Source organism: Homo sapiens, chromosome 12 (genome assembly GCF_000001405.40).
Source record: "Homo sapiens chromosome 12, GRCh38.p14 Primary Assembly".
Lineage (NCBI taxonomy): Eukaryota > Metazoa > Chordata > Mammalia > Primates > Hominidae > Homo > Homo sapiens.
Window position 1 is genome coordinate 64324123 of NC_000012.12, and position 20026 is coordinate 64344148.

At 42.5% G+C, this 20026-nt stretch overlaps 1 protein-coding gene and 1 pseudogene across 7 annotated transcripts in view; both read right to left on the minus strand.

The window, feature by feature from the left end:
- The window catches only part of C12orf56 (chromosome 12 open reading frame 56), a 125997-nt gene that overhangs the window by 59361 nt on the left and 46610 nt on the right, over window positions 1–20026 (minus strand). For all 7 annotated transcript variants that reach the window (NM_001099676.3, NM_001170633.2, XM_047428257.1 and 4 more), the window contains exon 3: window positions 6838–6910. In NM_001099676.3, the coding sequence (NP_001093146.1) occupies window positions 6838–6910 (73 nt within the window). The remainder of the gene's footprint in view (window positions 1–6837; window positions 6911–20026) is intronic.
- Window positions 13827–14783, minus strand: ATP6V1E1P3 (ATPase H+ transporting V1 subunit E1 pseudogene 3; annotated as a pseudogene).

Sequence of the window (20026 nt, forward strand, 5' to 3'; positions counted from 1 at the left end):
GCAAATCACACTCCCACAAGCCAATATTATGCAAGCCAGGCTAGGTTGTAAAGAATATGATTATTCATTCAACAAATATTAAGCACCTAGTATGTACCAAGCACTGGGCCAACACTAGAAATATATCAGTGCACAAGAATATCTAGGTCCCAGCTCTCATGGAGCTTGCATTCTAGTGGGAAGACAGACAATAAGCAATGAACATGTAGTTATAACTTACAAAAGTGCAATTGAAATCAACAAAGCAGTCTGATAAAGAAAACTTGTGTGTGTTTGTTGACGGGTGGCATACTTCAAACTAGGTGATCAAGCAAGAACTCTCTGGGATGAGGACATTTAAGCTAAGATCTGAAGGATGAGAAAGAGTGAGCCATGTGAAAAGCAATGTTAAGAGGGGTAAGAAGTTCAAAGGTCTGAGCTGGAAAGAGTTTGCAGTGCTCCAACTATTGAGATGAACAAGAGAAGTAAGAGGTGAAGCTGGAGCGGTAGGCAACGGCCAGTTCTTGCTGGGATGTCTAGACGTGGTAAAAGGTTTATCTGCTGTGCAATGGAATACCACTGAAAGGTTTTAAGCAAGAAAGGGACATTTGGAAAGTATCATTTTGGCTTTAAGGTGGATAATGGATTCAGGCAGAGGCAGACAGGTACTGAGAATGGAGGTGGAGAGTGTAGTAGAGGTGTTGCAGAAGTGATGAGAGGTGATAGTGGAGTTTTGGCAGTGGAGATAGAAGTTGATGGGTGAGTTAGAGACATATTATGAACTCAGGAGTTCCAATAATCCAGGGGAAGATTGATGTCATTGTAGATTATTTAGGCCAGCAATTCTCAAACCTTGGTAGCTAGCTAACAGAATCATCTAGGTAGCTACCAAAAACAGACAACTGAACACTGTCCCTAAAGCTGAGGATTCCATAGCCTGGAGTAGAGCCTAGGAGTCTGTACTCTCCACGAGCCCTTGGGAGATTCTTATACATGACCAAGATTGAAATAAACATGGACTTTTGCCATTATTCCAGGTCAGCTTTATTTCCACACCCCAGAAGATCTAGGCTAAGTCCTCACATTGCCCAGTCAGCATGTGTTAAGAGTGTAGACTAATCTCAAAGCAGTAACACCACATTAAGCAGCAGCAGTGGAGCTGGGCATGCCTGTAATCCCAGCTACCTAGGAGGTCGAGGCTTTAGTGAGCCATAATCACACCACTGTACTTGGCCCAGGCAGCAGAGCAAGACCCTGTCTAAAAAAAAAAAAAGAAGAAGAAGAAGAAGAAAAGAAGCAGCAGCAATGAGTGTCCCAGATTCTAACTTTCTGATAAGTAAATTCAAGCCCCTACAGTCTATTTAACTTTACACCGAAGGACTACTGGGGGAAAATGAGATCTCATATTCAATTGACTTCTCTAAAAGTGTGTGGTTTTATCTTTTTGTAAAAGGCAGAATAGTACACATACATGAATCTTTGATAATCTAGGTCCTTCTGAGCTTCGGGATTATCTTCATTAATATAGTGTGGAACTGAAATTGATGAGTTGGCCTGAAACAGCAGGCTCCCAAAGGCAGAAGCCAAAAGAAGGGGAGACTTGAGTACCCCACCTCCCTAGCATCTCCAATAGTCTTCCCCTGAGTGAGCCACCACAAATAAATATCTATGCCACATAAAAACAATGTATCTGTGCCTGCTAAGGAAAAAAGAGTTTCAATCTACCCCACATAAACATACAGTCTAGGTAAATGAATTCCCTAATCTCCCCTATTGCTGCCCCAAAGATCTTTTTTATAGAAATTCCAGGACCATCACTGACTCCAGGAAGGATCTAACACCAGTCCAAATCCTCTTCTATATATATGGGTATAAACCTAAAATTCTACTAGTTTTTTTCTGCCTCTAGCCAAGATGGAGTAATAGGGACCATATATACCCTTCTACCTGAAACAACCAAAAATTGGACAAAATATATGCAAAAATAGATTTCAAGACACTAGACACCAGGCAATAAAAGACAATGAGCCCTGGTAGATGGGAAATAATCAAGGTGAGACCTAATGATTGTCCCAGTTTACTGCCTTGAAAAAGTCTCCAGGGCACAGGGTAGAGAGGAGGGGGGTGGTACATACTGATTGTGGTAATGGTTTCATGGGGAGATATATATGATAAAACATACATGCACAGTTTATTGTGTGTCAATCATACCTCAGTAAAGCTGTTACAACAAAATTCTACAAATAGAACTTCTTTCCTGGAGCTGCTGGCTTTCATGCCTGCTAAAATGGAAATCCCACCAAAGGAATAACCATTTTAAATCTGTATTATTAAATTATCACAATGTTCTGGGCACAGTGGCTCACGCCTATAATCCCAGTACTTGGGACCACCGCCAGCCGAGGTGAGTGGATTACAAGACTGGGAGTTCGAGACCAGCCTGACAAACATGGTGAAACCCCGTCCCTACTAAAAATACAAAAAAATTAGCTGGGTGTGGTGGCGGGTACCTGCAATCTCAGTTACTCAGGAGGCTAAGGCAGAAGAATCGCTTAGGGAACCCAGGAGGCGGAGGTTGCAGTGAGCCAAGATTGAGCCACTGCACTCCAGCCTGGGCGACGGAGCTAGACTCTGTCTCAAAAAAAAAAAAAGAAAGAAAGAAATTGTCACAATGTGGTATCAGTAAAAACCCAAACATAAAATTTAGAGGAAGAACAAGGATACTTGCTAGGTGGTATGGTTTGAATATTTGTCCCCTCCAAAACTTACATTGAAATTTAATCCCCAGTATGGCAGTATTGAGTGGTGAGACCTTTAAGAGGTGACTGGGTAGTGAGGGCTCTGCCCTCATAAATGGATTAATCAATTCATGGATAAGTGGGTTAATATGTTAATGTGTTATCATGGGAATGGAACTGGCTTTATAAGAAGAGGAAGACAGACTTGAGCTTGCATGCCCAGTGCTCTTGCCATGTGATGTCCTGCACAGCCTAGGAACTCCGCTGAGTGTCCCCACCAGCAAGAACGCTCTCAGCAGATACAACTCCTTGACCTTGGCCTTCTCAGCCTCCATAACTATAAGAAATACATTTTTTTCCTTATAAATTAGCCAGTTTCAGGTATTCTGTGATATGCAACAGAAAACAGACTGAGATACCAGGGAAGGCTAGAGAGAGGACAGCACAGAGAAGGGAGAAAGAGCACAGAATGGGAGAAATGGAAACAAATCTTGACCATTTGACAAGTGTGTTGAGAGCTGGAAGTAGCCAGGATAGTTCCATGAAAATGCATGGTAACCATGGCTCATATTTACCTATGTAACAAATCTGCACGTCCTGCATATGTATCTCAGAACTAAACATAAATAAAATAAAATTTTTAAAAAAGAAAATGTGTAGTGGTGTTTCTTAGTTGCCACAATAAATGGGGAGCATTATTGGCACTTAGTGGACAAAAGCCAGGGAAGATGAAGTTTCACAATGTGTGGCCCCATTCTGCACAAGTACAAATGGTACCACACAAATGCCAGTAGCACCCCTTGAGAAATCTGGTGAAAGGAATTTAGCTACACAGGCTGTTGGTTCCTTCTCCAATGCCAGCATTTTAAAGGGGTCTCAATGCGCATTTTAAGCTATGGTTTGCCATGCTAAATAGAACACATTAGACAATTCTGTCTTAGTTTTTTTGATGTTTGGCTTCAAATGTAATCAAAACCTCCAAAGCCTTGAGAACTCTGACAGGAACACATGAACTCCTTAACCTTGAACTTACTTAAGCACCTTTAAGAATATTAGGTACTGCAGCCATTGTCCAACAATTTTCTTATCCAGAATAATTGGCCTTAAGGTTAAAATTCTACAAAGCAAGTTGGTAATGTGTTTAGGAAAAATAAACTTCCTAAGCCATTTTTTTTTTGGCAAGAAAGAAAGTTATAATAATAATGAAATTTAGGTTTGGAAGAGACCTCATAGGTCCTCTTGTTCAAACTGTGAGAGAGGGTGAGAATGACAGAAAGTGCAGTGAGAAAAGGCCCCTCCCCAGCAAGCTAAGCAACACAGCATGGGCCACCATGGGTTTGTGAATATCCCCAGTTAGGATTTCACTTTTTCCGAACAGCATTTTGCAATGCTTTTCTAATCTGGATATTTCCCCTTGCTATGACCTGTCTTTCTAGGATCCAATTCATATTAATTTTCCCTATGCCTCTATATCCCTTGAGTGGCAGCTCCCAGAATCCTACACTCCCCTCTTCCTTCTAATATCTAAATAGAGAAAGTGTGTAACAGTATCACACTTTGGCCAGGCACAGTGGCTCATGCCTGTAATCCAAGCACTTTGGGAGGCCGAGGCAGACAAATCATGAGGTCAGGAGTTCGAGACCTGCCTGGCCAACATGGTGAAACTCCATCTCTACTTAAAATACAAAAAATTAGCTGGACATGGTGGCGGGCGCCTGTAATCCCAGCTACTCGGGAGGCTGAGGCAGGAGAATCACTTGAACCCAGCAGGCGGAGGTTGCAGTGAGCCAAAATCGAGCCACTGCACTCCAGCCTGGGCGACAGTGCAAGACTCCATCTCAAAAAAAAAAAAAAAAAAAAAAAAAAAATATATATATATATATATATATATATATATAGTATCACACTTTAACTTATGCAACTTAAGAAACAACTTTTTTTTTTGTCCAGGTGCAGTGGCTCACGACTGTAATCCCAACACTGGGAGGCTGAGGTGAGCAGATCACTTGAGGTCAAGAGTTTGAGATCAGCCCGGTCAACATGGCAAAACCCCATCTCTACTAAAAATACAAAAAATTAGACAGGCGTGGTGGTGGGCACCTGTGATCCCAGCTACTCAGGAAGCTGAAGCAGGAAAGTCGCTTGAACCTGGGAGGCAGAGGTTGCAGTGAGCAGAGATCACACCACTGCACCCCAGCCTGGGTGACAGAGCGAGACTCAGTCTCAAAAAAAAAAAAGAAACTCCTTTTTCTCCTTTTTAAATTTACCCAGACTTCTTTCCCACCTTCCAGACTGAAATTTCAACTGTCAGATGAACTTATACACCAGATAAGCCCACTAGAACCTCAAGCTTAACCTATTTAAACCAGTACTTGAGCGTGATCCCTTCTGACATCCTTATTTGTTTGAAGGGCATCGCTATTCAGTCACCCCAGCTGGAAACCACGTAGTTTCTCTTTCCAGCTCTCCTATTTCAATTAAATGTTAGTATTGTGGATTCTGCCTATGAAATATCTCTTCCATCCGTCCCTTTTTCTTTATTTTTGCTATCACTACCCCAGTTCACATTCTAATGACTTTCCACCAATCTCAGGTCTTTCCCTACTTCAATCCATTTTAAGCACAATCGTCGGATTATTTTTCTGTAGTAATGGTTTATTTATTTATTTATTTATTTATTTATTTATTTATTTTTTATTATTACACTTTAAGTTTTAGGGTACATGTGCACATTGTGCAGGTTAGTTACATATGTATACATGTGCCATGCTGGTGCGCTGCACCCACTAACTCGTCATCTAGCATTAGGTATATCTCCCAATGCTATCCCTCCCCCCTCCCCCCACCCCACAACAGTCCCCAGAGTGTGATGTTCCCCTTCCTGTGTCCATGTGATCTCATTGTTCAATTCCCACCTATGAGTGAGAATATGCCGTGTTTGGTTTTTTGTTCTTGTGATAGTTTACTGAGAATGATGATTTCCAATTTCATCCATGTCCCTATAAAGGACATGAACTCATCATTTTTTATGGCTGCATAGTATTCCATGGTGTATATGTGCCACATTTTCTTAATCCAGTCTATCATTGTTGGACATTTGGGTTGGTTCCAAGTCTTTGCTATCGTGAATAATGCTGCAATAAACATACGTGTGCATGTGTCTTTATAGCAACATGATTTGTAGTCCTTTGGGTATATACCCAGTAATGGGATGGCTGGGTCAAATGGTATTTCCAGTTCTAGATCCCTGAGGACTCGCCACACTGACTTCCACAATGGTTGAACTAGTTTACGTTCCACCAACAGTGTAAAAGTGTTCCTATTTCTCCACATCCTCTCCAGCACCTGTTGTAATGGTTTCTATATCATTCTCATGGCCAAAACTTTCCATAGTTTTTTCATATCCTGTGAAATGAAATGTAAAGTCTTCATCTGGACTTTTAAGACCCTCCAAAGTGTAGGATCCATTTCACTTTCAGGTCCTATTTTCAATCCCATGGGGCTAACTAACACATGTTCCATTTCTTTTCTGCCTGGATCTCCTCTCCCACTATTCCTCCAACTGCAGTGTCCCCATCTCCAGGCGCCCTATTCCTTTACCAACTGTCACCAGGCATCTTGACTTCTCCCCACAACTGAATATCATCTGTCCCCTCTTTAAATCTCTTTGAAAATTGCTCAGACTCATTCAGGACACTTAGCATGTGGACTATGTATTTTCTTAATTTGTGCAAATGCTGTATATCTTAGTTAGAATCAGCTTCTCAAGGACAGAATTTATGAGTACTCATCTTTGTATCCATCATAGGGCCTAACATAGTGCCCTACACAGAACCAGAGCTCAACAGATGTCTTTGAATTTAATTTTAATGAATTATTTATCTATATTGTGACATCTATATGTTCAGTAATATATAGAAAATTAGAAAAACTATACTATTTAACTGATTTGAATTGAGAAAAAGTTCTCTCAAAAATACTTTCTTCCTTATTGCATATGTAAGATTAATAGAACTCAGTCCAAAGCCATTAGTAGAGAAAAAAAATTAAGAAAAACAAGTTACAATGTAAAAATGTTTTGGTTAGCAAGTTAAACACATACTCCAAACAACAATCTCACCTGAGAGGAGATTCTTTCAGACTTCTGGACTCTTTGCTTCTCCAAAAGGCAAGGCCGTTCTTTTCTTCCTTGACTTAAAAAAAAAATAGTTATTTGGTCATTAATTAAATAATTTGATTGAAATTATGAAGAAGACCTAGTCTCATGTACTGATTAAATGACTGTTCATAAATCCTCACAAAAATTGTAAGTCCAAAATTGTAAGCTGGGTAGCACGATGGAGCAAAAAGAACTTTGACTTTGACATGAACATGTCCTCGGCCAAGCACGGTGGCTCACACCTGTAATCCCAACATTTTAGAAGGCTGAAGTGGGAGGATCACTTGAGCTCACAAGTTCAAGACGAGCCAGGGCAACATAACGAGATGTCATCTCTACAAAAAATAGAAATATTAGCTGAGTGTGGTGGTGTGCATCTGTAGCCCCAGCTACTTGGGAGGCTGAGGATGGAGGATTGCTTGAGCCTAGGTGGTTGAGGATGCAGTGAGCTATGATCACACCACTGCACTCTAGCCTGGGTAACAGAGCAAGACCCTGTCTCAAAAATAAAAAATAAAAATAAAATTTAAAAAGTAGGGCCTTTTTGGAAGTGATTAAGTCACTAGGGCTCTGCCCTCATAAATGGGATTAGTACCCTTATAAAAGGTTGACGGGAGTGCCCTAGTCCCACTGCCCCTCCCACTACGTGAGGACATAGGATTTGTTCCTCCTGCCATGTGAGCATGCAGCAAGAAGTTGCCATCTCTGAAGCAGAGGGCAGCCCTCACCAGACACTGAGTCTGCTGATGACTAGATCTTGGACTTCCAGCCTCCAGAACTGTGAGAAACAAATTTCTGTTGTTTATAAATTACCTAGTCTAAGGTATTTTGTTATAGCAGCAGGTGCAGGATAAGACAGTGGTCCGCTGTTATTCTGTCTTTCCAGCCTCTCCCTTTTTTGAAGAATTGCTCTCTTCCTATAGTTACCATGAGGGTTCTTATCCTTAAATAAAAAAAAAAAAAGAAGGAAAAAAAGACTTTGCTCCTTCCATGAAATGAATGATGCTTAAGTTTTAGTGCCCCTGGCCAGGTGCGGTGACTCACACTTGTAATTACAGCAGTTTGGGAGGCTGAAGCAGACGGATCACTGGAGGCCAGGAGTTCGAGACCAGCCTGGCCAACATGGTGAAACCCAGTTTCTACTAAAAAGACAAAAATAGCTAGGCGCGGTAGGGTGGGCCTGTAGTCCCAGCTACTCAGGAGGCTGAGGCAGGAGAATCTCTTGAACTAGGAGAGAGAGGTTGCAGTGACCCAAGATTGTACCACTGCACTTCAGCCTGGGTGAAAGAGCGAGACTCCATCTCAAAAAAAAAAAAAAAAAAAAGTTTCAGCCCCGCTCAGTGCATGAGTTCCTTCCAAAGTCTTAGGAGAGACCCTAAAAATGTGTTCACATGGCCAAATGTTTTTATAAGAATTGCAAAGAGAATAATCCACCTCTTCAACCACAATAATTTAAGAGCACAGGGTCTTCTTCCCACTTCAATTTTTCTTCTGTCTCACTTCCTCTCTTGAGAGTGGCTGTAGGCACTTTGTATTTGTGATTTCTTCTGTCCTGATTTCTTTGGAGTGCTGCGGGCATTGTATTTGTACAGTGTAAGACAGACGTCTTAGTTATTTCAAGGGGGGGCTCTCCAAATTGTATGAGTTTCGGTCCCCATAAAACCTAGATCCGCTCCTGCCCTAGCCACAGCTGATGGGTCTAGAGGTGGACTGCTGACCCAGTCTGGGCCAATCAATGTCTTGCCCTGGATTTGTGACATTTGTTCTTGAGAGACAGGGCTAGAAGTCTTTGGAGCGGGCTGGACCCTAGGAGGAGGTCCTAGCCAAGCTGCTTAGACCCCAGAACAGGCACCTGGGCTCCTGGTCTTTCACTATTTGGCCCTTTTGCTTCCCTTTTGATTCCCTAGGAGACTCCAAAATCTTCCAACAAATTCCCCTTGACATTAAGATAGGCAGAATCAGTTTTTTCTATTTGGAATTTAAGAAACTTTAAGACCCCAATCATCACAATCAGTTGTAAAAGTAGGCATTTCACAAATAATGGTACAAAATGTGATGCAAATAATGCCTTTGTATATTGCTGGAATTAGGTGGAAGCACTTATGACTCATCAATCAGACAGGTTTGAGCCCATCTCCTGCTTCAGATCACAGATTACAGAATGTCTAGGAGGTAAACCACTTGGTCCTGGTGATACAGCAATACCAACCCAAGGAGCAAGCAGCTTGGAAGAAAACAGGAAAAATAGAGCACATCACTGCTGGCATGCTGGAAAGGAGGACGAGATTACCGAGGCTTATTTGTTAGGATGTTAGTGTTACTTGCACAATCATCCTGTAACAGTCTTAAGTTGTCTGTTAAACCTCATTCCATCCAAATTCACTAACCAAACTTGAATTCTCTCTTTTTTGTGCGAAGTCATTAAAAAGTTGGAAAAAAAAAAACAACTTTAGTGTTCACGTCCCTGCCTCTTTCTATGTTAGCTTTATTTTATTTATTTTTATTTATTTTTTTATTTTTTTGAGAAGAGTCTCACTCTGTCGCCCAGGCTGGAGTGCAGTGGCACAATCTCGGCTCACTGCAGCCTCCGCCTCCCAGGCAAAAGCAATCCTCCCACCTCAGCCTCCTGAGTAGCTGGGATTACAGGCGCTTGCCACCATGCCCAGCTAATTTTTGTATTTTTAGTAGAGACGGGGTTTCACCACTTTGTCCAGGCTGGTCTCAAACTGCTGATCTCAAGTGATCCGCCCACCTTGGCCTCCCAATGTGCTGGGATTCCAGGTGTGAGCCACCATGCCCAGCCTATGTTAGCTTTAAATTTCACTTTGTAATAATGGTCTGGAGAATCAGGATCATCTGTGCTCTCCACTCAGAAATAAAGTACAGTTCAATCTGTTTCTGCACTTGGTGGAAAGTCTGGTCTCCTGGACACCAAGGACCAGAGTCTGGCAGGTGTAAGGCAATAATGACAAAAGAGCCTGAGTGTAGTGTCATCTGCTGCTGTATTCTCTAGTGTGCATGTAGCAGTTGACATGCTTCTTCAGTGGCTTGGATATGAATTCCTTCAGTCATTTAGCACAATGCATATCTGATGGAATGCTTGGTAGTACGGGCCAGCTGAAGAACATTTTTAGAAGGGACACTACAAAAATAATACATCTGCTTTCTCTATTGCAAGGGGTTCAATTATATTCATAAAGTCCCATTCCTGTGGGGAAGATGGTCAGGCTTCCATATGTAAAAACTATCCATGAAACCTGAGAGACTCATCAGTTTCTTGTGCTTTTACTTTTGCCCCACATCATTGGTTTTAGAAAATATCTAGGTTTTACATTTATTTTTAAAAATTACACACACACACATACAGTTGTCCCTTAGTATCCATGGAAAATCGGTTCTAGGATCGCCCTTGGAAACCAAAATCTGAGTATGCTCAAATGCCTGATAGAAAATGGTATAGTATTTTCATACAACCTATGCATACCCTCCCATATACTTTAAATAATCTCTAGATTATTTATAATACTAACTACAACAAAAAATGTCATGTAAATAGTTATACTGTATTGTTTAGGGAATAATGACAAGAAAATAGTCTGTACATGTACAACACAGATGCAACTTTTTTTTAGTATGATTTCAATCTTCTGTTGGCTGAATCTATGAATGTGGAGCTCACGACTATGGAGAGCCAATATTCACTGCAGCTCTAGAATAACAGAAAAGACCTTAAAGGCTTTTGTGGTATTACTAAACTTTGGTTCAGTTTAGATTTCATTAAACTATGTTTCAATCTAGTTGGGGATTCATCTATTTAATTTTATACCAATATTTCAAAATATACCACTAAAGCCTGTAAGGTCTTTTCTGTTTTTCTAGAGCTGCAGTGAATATTTGAAAACACTAGTTACCTGTGTCTATTTAAATGTAAACTTAAATTCAGTTATTCAGCAGCACTAGCCACGTTTGAAAAGCCCAATGGCCACAGGTAGCCAATGGCTACTGTATTAGACATGATTAGACAAGATATAGAACATCTCCATCATTGCCAAAAGTTCTGTTGGGTAATGCTGTTCTAGAATGTACCTGAAACTGAAACTAAGTGGTTAATAACCCAATCCATTGAAGAGTTTTGTGGCCAGGCATGGTGGCTCATGCCTATAATCCCAGCACTTTGGGAGGCCGAGGTGGGCGGATCACCTGAGGTCAGGAGTTCGTGACCAGCCTGGCCAACATAGAGAAACCTCATCTCTACTAAAACACAAAAATTGGCCAGGTATGGTGGCAGGCGTCTGTAATCCCAGCTACTTGGGAGGCTGAGGCAGGGAGAATTGCTTGAACCTGGGAGGCAGAGGTTGCTATGAGCCAAGATCACACCACTGCACTCCAGCCTGGGTGACAGAGTGAGACTTCATCTCCAAAAAAAAAAAAAAAAAAAAAAGAGCTTTTGCTACTAATACAGTTCAATCCTGTCACTCTGTTCCCATCTGCATTGTTCATTTAGAGTTTAATAACCATCCTCTTTCATCTCAATGTGAAAAGTACAATTCAGGTATGGCATGTTGCATCACACCTGTAATCCAAGCACTTCACGAGGCTGAGGCAGGAGGATTGCTCAAGGCCAGAAGTTTGAGATCAGCCTTGGCAATTCAAAGTGCTAATTGTGACCCATGTAAGAACATATGTATACTAAAAAGAAAAGCATCTTTTCCTCTATATATTCAGAAAAGTTGGGTCTAATTAGGAATCCTGTTAAAAATGTGATAATTTAAACTAAGTGTTTTTACTAGAAATGATTTCCAATATTGAGCTTGCTTTGTTCAGATGACCGAGTTGATTGGACCATGGGCACCTGTATCACATGACAAAAATATCCCCTAGGATTTTTTACCCAAGAGGTTTGGAGTTAGTCCTAATAATTACCTTTATTTAAGTGCTCAGCAGTTATTGTGTGCTGCTGCTCTACACATGACATCATCATTATTAACATATTAAAGATTCTAGCAATGACTATTATCAAATAGATGGTCGAGTAGGTTTGGGCCTGTCTCTTGCTTTAGGACACATATTGCAGAATGTCTCTGAGGTGAACCACTGGGGCCCTAGATATATAGCAATACCTGACTCAGGGAACAAGCAGCTGGAAGAACAGAAAACATACAGCATTACTGTTGGCATAATGGAAAAGGGGAGTGTTTTCTATCTTGTAATGTAGCTGGGGCTCCTTGTGACAGTGGCAGTTTTGTGTTGTCAAAAGCCTCCACGCCCAAGTGTCAGATGGTACTTTTGGGAATGAAAGTAGAGAACAGGTGGGGGCAAGTGTTATTCTATGAATAGCCCTGCACATCAGCACAGGACAAACTCTTCACTAATTTTAATATCACTTGCAAAGTTTCTAGGAATTTAAATGTCATCAAACTTCGATCTGTTTTACTACATTATTTTCGTATGTGTTTTTATTTTCCTATACACGTTGAAGGAAAAAAAAAGCCAAGAATAATTATGCTTGTGGACAAGGATAAATATGCATTTAAGGCAACCAACACCAATTAGATACCCTAATTAGTGTGACAGGAGACCTGGTGAGCAACCAGGGATTTGATAAACCTGCTAATTACAGCTCCTACAAACAGTTTCCATGCCACAGTGTGTCAGCATGGAAAGGTGCTCATCCATGAAAGTGTAAAAGCACCACACAGTTTTCTCACACATTGTAGCTCTGAGTCCAACTTGGAATAAAGTCTAGTGGACAATGAATGGGCTGAATGTGCTGGCCTAGCTACACAAGCTGGATGCCAGAAGTAGAAGGGCCTATCCAGCTCCTTGGACCTTCATCCTTCCCTTCTCCCTCTATGCTAAAGATTCAATCTTAAGGGCCGACTTCATTAAGTCAGCCACCCCAGCTGTGTACCCTGCCCTGTCCACCTTATTTCATGTAATATAACAACTCTGTGAAGCTAGTAATGGAGATGAGGAAACTGAGACTCATAAAGGTTAAGTGACTTGCTTAAGGTCACACATCCAGGAAATGTGAGAAACAGGATTCAAACCTGGGCTTAGTGAAATGCAAAGTCCATGTTCTTTTTCTATGCTTTTCACCAACTCCCAATTACAGGGACAGATACCTTAAAAAGGCTCATATATCAACATATCTATATAGATATAGATATACAGATATGTCTGAGTTGTTTTTACTCACTTCAGACACCAAGTGTGTAATTTTTTTTCTCTTTCACCCAAAGCCAATTCTCTAATTCTCTAGATACCAACTGGGAGTACTACAATTCAATTCCATTCTGCCATTCACTACTTGGCAGTAGCACAGACCCCACAGGTTAAGGGCTCAGTCCCACAAGACTGCCCTAACTTCAGATGCCAGTTGCAACTCCCAGGTTTCCACCTGTATTTCTGACCAACCAGCTATAAATCAGGAGCTCCCCATGAAGTGAACCAGAACATGCCACCCAAAATATACTACTTTGGCATATTGGTTATTTTAACCTGAAGGTGCTTGAGAGACAGCAGATGTAGGAAGGGCTCTCTGATCTACACCTATCTACCTTAAAACGGGACATAGACCAGGCACAGTGGCTCATGCCTGTAATCCCAGCACTTTGGAAGGCTGAGGCAGGTGGATCATTTGAGGCCAGCAGTTTGAGACCAGACTGGCCAACATGGCAAAAACCCAACTCTACTAAAAATACAAAAATTAGTCACGTGTGGTAGTGCATGCCTGTAATCCCAGCTGCTCAGGAGGCTGAGGCACAAGAATCACTTGAACCTGAGGGGTGGAGGTTGCAGTGAGCTGAGATCACACCACTGCACTCCAGCCTGGGTAACAGAGCAAAATTCTGTCAAAAAAAAAAAAAAAAAAAACACCAGGACATAAATTTCCCATGAGAAAGGCAACCTCTTTATACCAGGGAGAGGAGAACATTCTTTTTTCTTTTACTTTTAGATGAACTGGAGGTGAGTCCTGATCATATTACATGAAGCTTTCCACCATTGTGAACAATTAGGCAAGGCATTAGTGACAGAGGGGCATCACTGATAAATACAGAGCAATACTGGGGCAGTAAAGAGGAAGCTACAGAGACATTTGTGTTTCTTCAAATATCAGAAGCTTCCACATCACAGCAGGAGAGCTGAGGACGAGCTCCACCTCCCGAAGGCTTAGTCCAAAAACTTCCTGTTGGCATTTGCCCTGAACAAGCCCCCCGACTTCTGGCATCATCTGCTGGACTATGAGATCCAGCTGGCTTTCCAGGGTATTGGAAACCTTTATGTTACAATCCCCATTATATATCTCAACTCCACCAGCTATGTCCTCTGGCAGGTAGACATAGCTGGTGGAGTTGAGATATATAATGGGGACCTCCTGGTCAATTTGGACATCAACATCGTTTTTGGTGGCAACTTTGTACATAGGGATTTCCTTTTGCACCGCAGACTTTACCAGAGGGAAATCTTATTTCCTGCAACAAACAATCATTCAGGGCTCCAGCAACTGGTACAAACCTGTGGTAAGGTCATCCCTCACTCTGAGGACTTTGAGTCTTGCTTGATTCATCAAATTGGACATCTGAATTTTCTTCTGCTGCTCAATCTGTTTCTCTTTCTTCTCATAATATTCCATAATCTTTAGTCTTTGGGTTTGCACAAACTGACCTTTCTCTATGTTGAACTCTTCTTCTGCCTTTGCATCTATTCCTTCTGCTTTCTCATTGGCTTCTTGTTCAATGAAAGCCATCATATGCTTTATCTGCTTTTGCATGTCAGCATTGCTGAGAGCCATGGTGAGAGCAAAGCTAGGCCGGTGAGCAGCAGGCTCGAGTTTAGGTTTGAAGGGTGAGGTGGGAGGAATGGGCAGAGGAAACCCCTGTGCAGACCTTGGTTTCCTTTACTTTTTGAGAACATTTTTATCAATAGAGGTGAGGCATGGACACTGAGATGAATCTGTACAAATACTAAAATAAATCTTGTCTTCCATTAATTTTCACCATATATTTCCTAGTCATTTTCCCACAGTTCACTATGCGTAGCCTAAGCCCCTTTGCTTTGTCTTGTCACAACTCTACAATTTATCATTCTTTGTTAACATGGTATATAAGCACTCAGGCCTGTCGGCTTCTTTGGGTCTTCATTTCTCTTCTATGAAGTTTCCCCTGCCATGTAAAAATGTTAACGTCAAATAAAATGTGTATCCTTATCTCCTGTTAACCTGCCTTTTCTCAGCTTAATCCTCAGAAACAGCCACAAAACCTAAGAAGGTAGGGGAAAAGTCTTTCCTCCCCTTTACCACAAGCACCTCCTCAGGTTTAATAATTTGCAAGAACAGCTCACAGAACTCAGGAAAGTGCTTCATTTCCTATTACCAGTTTATTATAAAGGATTATATTCAGGAATAGCCAAGTGGAAGAGATGTATTGAGCAGGGTATCAGGGGAGGGGTGCAAAGCCTCCATGCCCTCTCCTGGTGCACCACTGTCCCAAGAACTTGATGTGGTCACCAACTTGGGAGCTCTCCAAACCCCGTCATTTAAGGGTTTTTTTAAGTTTGTATTTGTTTGTTTGTTTGTTTTTCAGACAGGGTCTTTCTCTGTCACCCAGGCTTCAGTGCAGTGGTGTGATCATGGCTCAGTATAGCCTCAACCTCCCAGGCTCAAGTGACTCTCCCACCTCAGCCTCCTGAGTAGCTGGGACTACAGGTGTGCACCACTACACCCAGCTACTTTTTGTATTTTTTGAAGAGACAGGGTTTTGCCATGTTTCCCAGGCTGGTCTCAACTCCTGCCTTAAGCAATTGTCCCACCTTAGCCTCTCAAAGTGCTGGAATTACAAGTGTGAGCCACAATGTCTGTATTAGTCAGTGTTCTCTAGAGGGACAGAATTAATGGAATAAATATATAGAGCCCAATGTGTCCAGGTGGATATGATAACTTCCAGTTGTATATATATGATAACTTCCATATATTTATATATATGGACATTTATACAGAATGGGTAGAGAACTCCCATATATATATATGGAAGTTTATTAAGTATTAACTCACATGATCACAAGGTCCCACAATAGGCTGTCTACAGGCTGAAGAACAAGGAGAGCCAGTCCGAGTTCCAAAACTGAAGAACTTGGAGTCTAATGTTTGAGGGAAGGAAGCATCCAGCACAGGAGAAAGATGTAGGTTGGGAGGCTAGACCGGTCTCTGTTTTCACATTTTTCTGCCTGCTTATATTCTGGCTGTGCTGGCAGATGATAAGATTGTGCCCACCCAGAATAAGCGTGGGTCTGCCTTCCCCAGCCCACTGACTCAAATGTTAATTTCCTCTGGCAACACCCTCACAGATACACCCAGGATCAATACTTTCTATCCTTCAATCCAATGAAGTGGACACTCAGTATTAACCATCACAAGTCCACCCCTTGTCAACTTAAACCCATATACATCCCCTGAGATCATACATAACCTTCAAATAAAGACAATAATAAGGTCATAATTATGCCTAGCATAATACAACTATCCTTTGTACAACCAGAAATGCAACAATCCCCAACCCAAATACTATTCCATAAAGTTAACAATATTTAAATGCTGATGTAAAGTCAATAAATCTTATGTCACATGCTAAAGGAAAAAGGAAATAAAATGAAGATATTTTCTTAGTACAAGTGTATACATGCACAAACATGTTTTTAACGAAAGAAGGAGGAAATACTCATGACAATTACAGTCCTTGTTTCTGCATCTGGTCACGTCATCATAGCTGGTATTGATGACTACCTTCTTCTACTACCCATTCTGTATTCTTTTTGCCTTCAGCAAGCACCTCAGCAGGTCATGGTTTTTTCCTGGTGGAGTGACCCAAACCTTCATTCATGAAGGGTCTGGGTCATTTGTAGTCCTGCCTGAATTGGGCTGTTGTAGTTTCTCACTGACCTTAATCAAAGGGCATAGTAACACTAAGAGACACCCTAATGGATCTCCTGTATTCCATGCATACTCTTTCTTAACTCCATTGTGGAGTTGTAGACTGATTTCATCTTGATAGTCTGGGTCAGTCACCCCAGCCAACACTGTAACTACCTTCTTGGCCTGTTGACTTAAAGGTAGGAGGAGCCCAATGTGTCCAGGTGGATATGATAACTTCCAGTTTAATGAAATCGTTGTTGTGTCTCCTGGTGGCAGCATTCCTCCCTCTGGAACTGAGACCTCTAGGCTAGCAGAATGTAATGTCATGGGAACAGGAAGCAAAAATTTTGCTAGTGGATCTCTAGGGGTGATGGTGAGTGGTGCCACTTCCGCTTCCACCCCTTGATTCCTGGACCCATGAATCCTGGCTATGGGAGGAACAGCACCATATTGGATGCTGATTCAGAGCATACATGGCCTTCTGGAGAACTCTGCCCCAGCCCTGCAAAGTATTGTCACCTAGTTGGCCATGTAATTGTAACTTCAAAAGGCCATCCCACCATTCTATCAATCCAGCTGCTTCAGGATGAGGAGGAACATGGTAAGACCAGTGAATTCCATGAGCATGAGCCCACATCACACTTCTTTAGCCGTAAAGTGAGTGCCTTGGTCAGAGGCAATGCTGTGTGGAATACCATGAAGGTGGGTAAGGCATTCCGTGAGTCCACAGATGGTAGTCTTGGCAGAAGCATTGAGTGCAGGATAGGCAAACCCATATCCGGAGTAAGTGTCTATTCTGATGAGGACAAACCTCTGCCCTTTCCATGATGGAAAAGGCCTAATATAATCAACCTGCCACCAGGTAGCTGGCTGATCACCCCGAGGAATGGTGCCATATTGAGGGCTCAGTGTTGGTCTCTTCTGCTGGCAAATTGGGCACTCAGCAGTAGTCATAGCCAGATCAGCTTTGGTGAGTGGAAGTCCATGTTGCTGAGCCCATGCATAACCTCCATCCCTGCCACTATGACCACTTTGTTCATGGGCCCATTGGGTGATGACAGGGTTGGCTGGGGAAAGAGGCTTAGTGGTGTCCACAGAATGGGTCATCCTATCCACTTGATTATCAAAATCCTCCTTTGCTGAGGCCACCCGTTGGTGAGCACTCACATGGGATACAAATATCTTCCCAGTTTTTGACCACACAAAGAGGTCCATCCACATACCTCTTCCCCAAATTTCTTTGTCACCAATTTTCCAATAATGCTTCTTCTGGAAGCTTCTTCTGGCAGTCCCTGACCATCCACCAAACCATTGGCTACAGCCCATGAATCAGTATGCAATCGTACATCTGGCCATTTCTCCTTCCATGCAAAGCGCACATCCAGGTGCACTGCTCGAAGTTCTGCCCAATGGGAAGATTTCCCTTCACCACTGTGCTTCAGGGATGTCCGAGAAAGAGGCCGTAGTGCTGCAGCTGTCCACTTTCGGGTGGTGCCTGCATATCATGCAGAACCATCTGTGAACCAGGCCCTAGTCTTCTCTTCCTCTGTCAACTGATCATAGGGAACTCCCCGTGAGGCCAGTGATACAGGCTAGGGGAGAGAAGGCAGGGTGGCAGAAACCATGGGCATTTGAGCCACTTCCTCATGTAACTTACTTATGCCTTCAGGACCTGCTTGAGCCCGTTCACATATATACCACTTCCATTTGATGATGGAATGCTGCTGTGCATGATCCACTTTATGGCTAGATGTGTCAGAAAGCACCCAGTTCATGATAGGCAGTTCAGGTCACATGGTGACTTGGTGACCCATGGTCAAACGTTCAGTTTCCACCAAAGCCCAGTAACAGGCCAAGAGCTGTTTCTCAAAAGGAGGGTAGTTATTTGCAGAAGGCAGGGCCTTGCTCCAAAATCCTAGAGGCCTCCTCTGTAATTCACCTATGGGGGCCTCCCAAAGGCTCCAAACAGCATCTCTATCTGTGACTGACAGCTCAAGCACCATTGGATCTGCCAGGTCATATGGCCCAAGTGGCAGAGCAGCTTGCACAGCAGCCTGGACCTGTTGCAGAGCCTTCTCCTGTTCTGGACCCCACTCAAAACTGGCAGCCTTTCAGGTCACTTGATAAATGAGCCAGAGTAACACACCCAAATGAGGGATGTCTTGCCTCCAAAATTCAAATAGGCCCACTAGGCATTGTGGCTCTTTCTTGGTTGTAGAGAGGGCCAAATGAAGCAACTTATCCTTCACCTTAGAAGGAATATCTCGACAGGCCCCACACCACTGGACCCCTAGAAATTTTACCGAGGTAGAAGGTCCCTGAATTTTAGTCGGATTTTTTTCCTATCCTCTAGCACACAAATGTCTCACCAATAAGTCCAGTGTGTTTGCTACTTCTTGCTCACTAGATCCAATCAGCATAATGTCATCAATGTAATGGACCAGTGTGATATCTTGCAGAAGCAAAAAGCGATCAAGGTCTCTCTGAATAAGATTATGACACAAAGCTGGAGAGTTGCTATACCCCTGAGGTAGGACAATAAAGGTATATTGCTGGCCTAGCTAGCTGAAGACAAATTACTTCTGGTGGGCCTATGGATAGGAATGGAGAAAAAGGCATTTGCCAAGTCAATGGCTGCATACCAGGTACCAGGAGATGTGTTAATTTGCTCAAGCAATGAAACCACATCTGGTACAGCAGCTGCACTTGGAGTCACCACTTGGTTAAGCTTACAATAATCCACTGTCATTCTCCAAGATCCATCTGTCTTCTGCACAGGCCAAATGGGAGACAGATGAACAGGGATGTGGTGAGAATCACCATCCCTGCGTCTTTCAAGTCCTTGATGGTAGCACTAATTTCCATGATCCCTCCAGGGACACAATATTGTTTTTGATTTACTATCTTTCTAGATAGAGGCAGCTCTAATGGCTTCCATTTGGCCTTTCCCACCATAATAGCCCTCAATCTACCAGCCAATGTGGGGGTTCTGCCAGCTGCTAAGTATGTCTATGCCAATTATGCTGTCTGGCACTGGGGAAATGACCACAGGATGAGTCCAGGGGCCCACTGGACCCACTGTAACTCGAAGCTGAGCTAAAACTCCATTAATTACCTGACCTCCATAAGCCCCTACTTTAACTGGAGGACCACAGTGATGTCTTGGGTCCCCTGGAATCAATGTCAGCTCAGAGCCATTGTCCAGTAGTCCCCTAAACATCTGATCATTTCCCTTTCCCA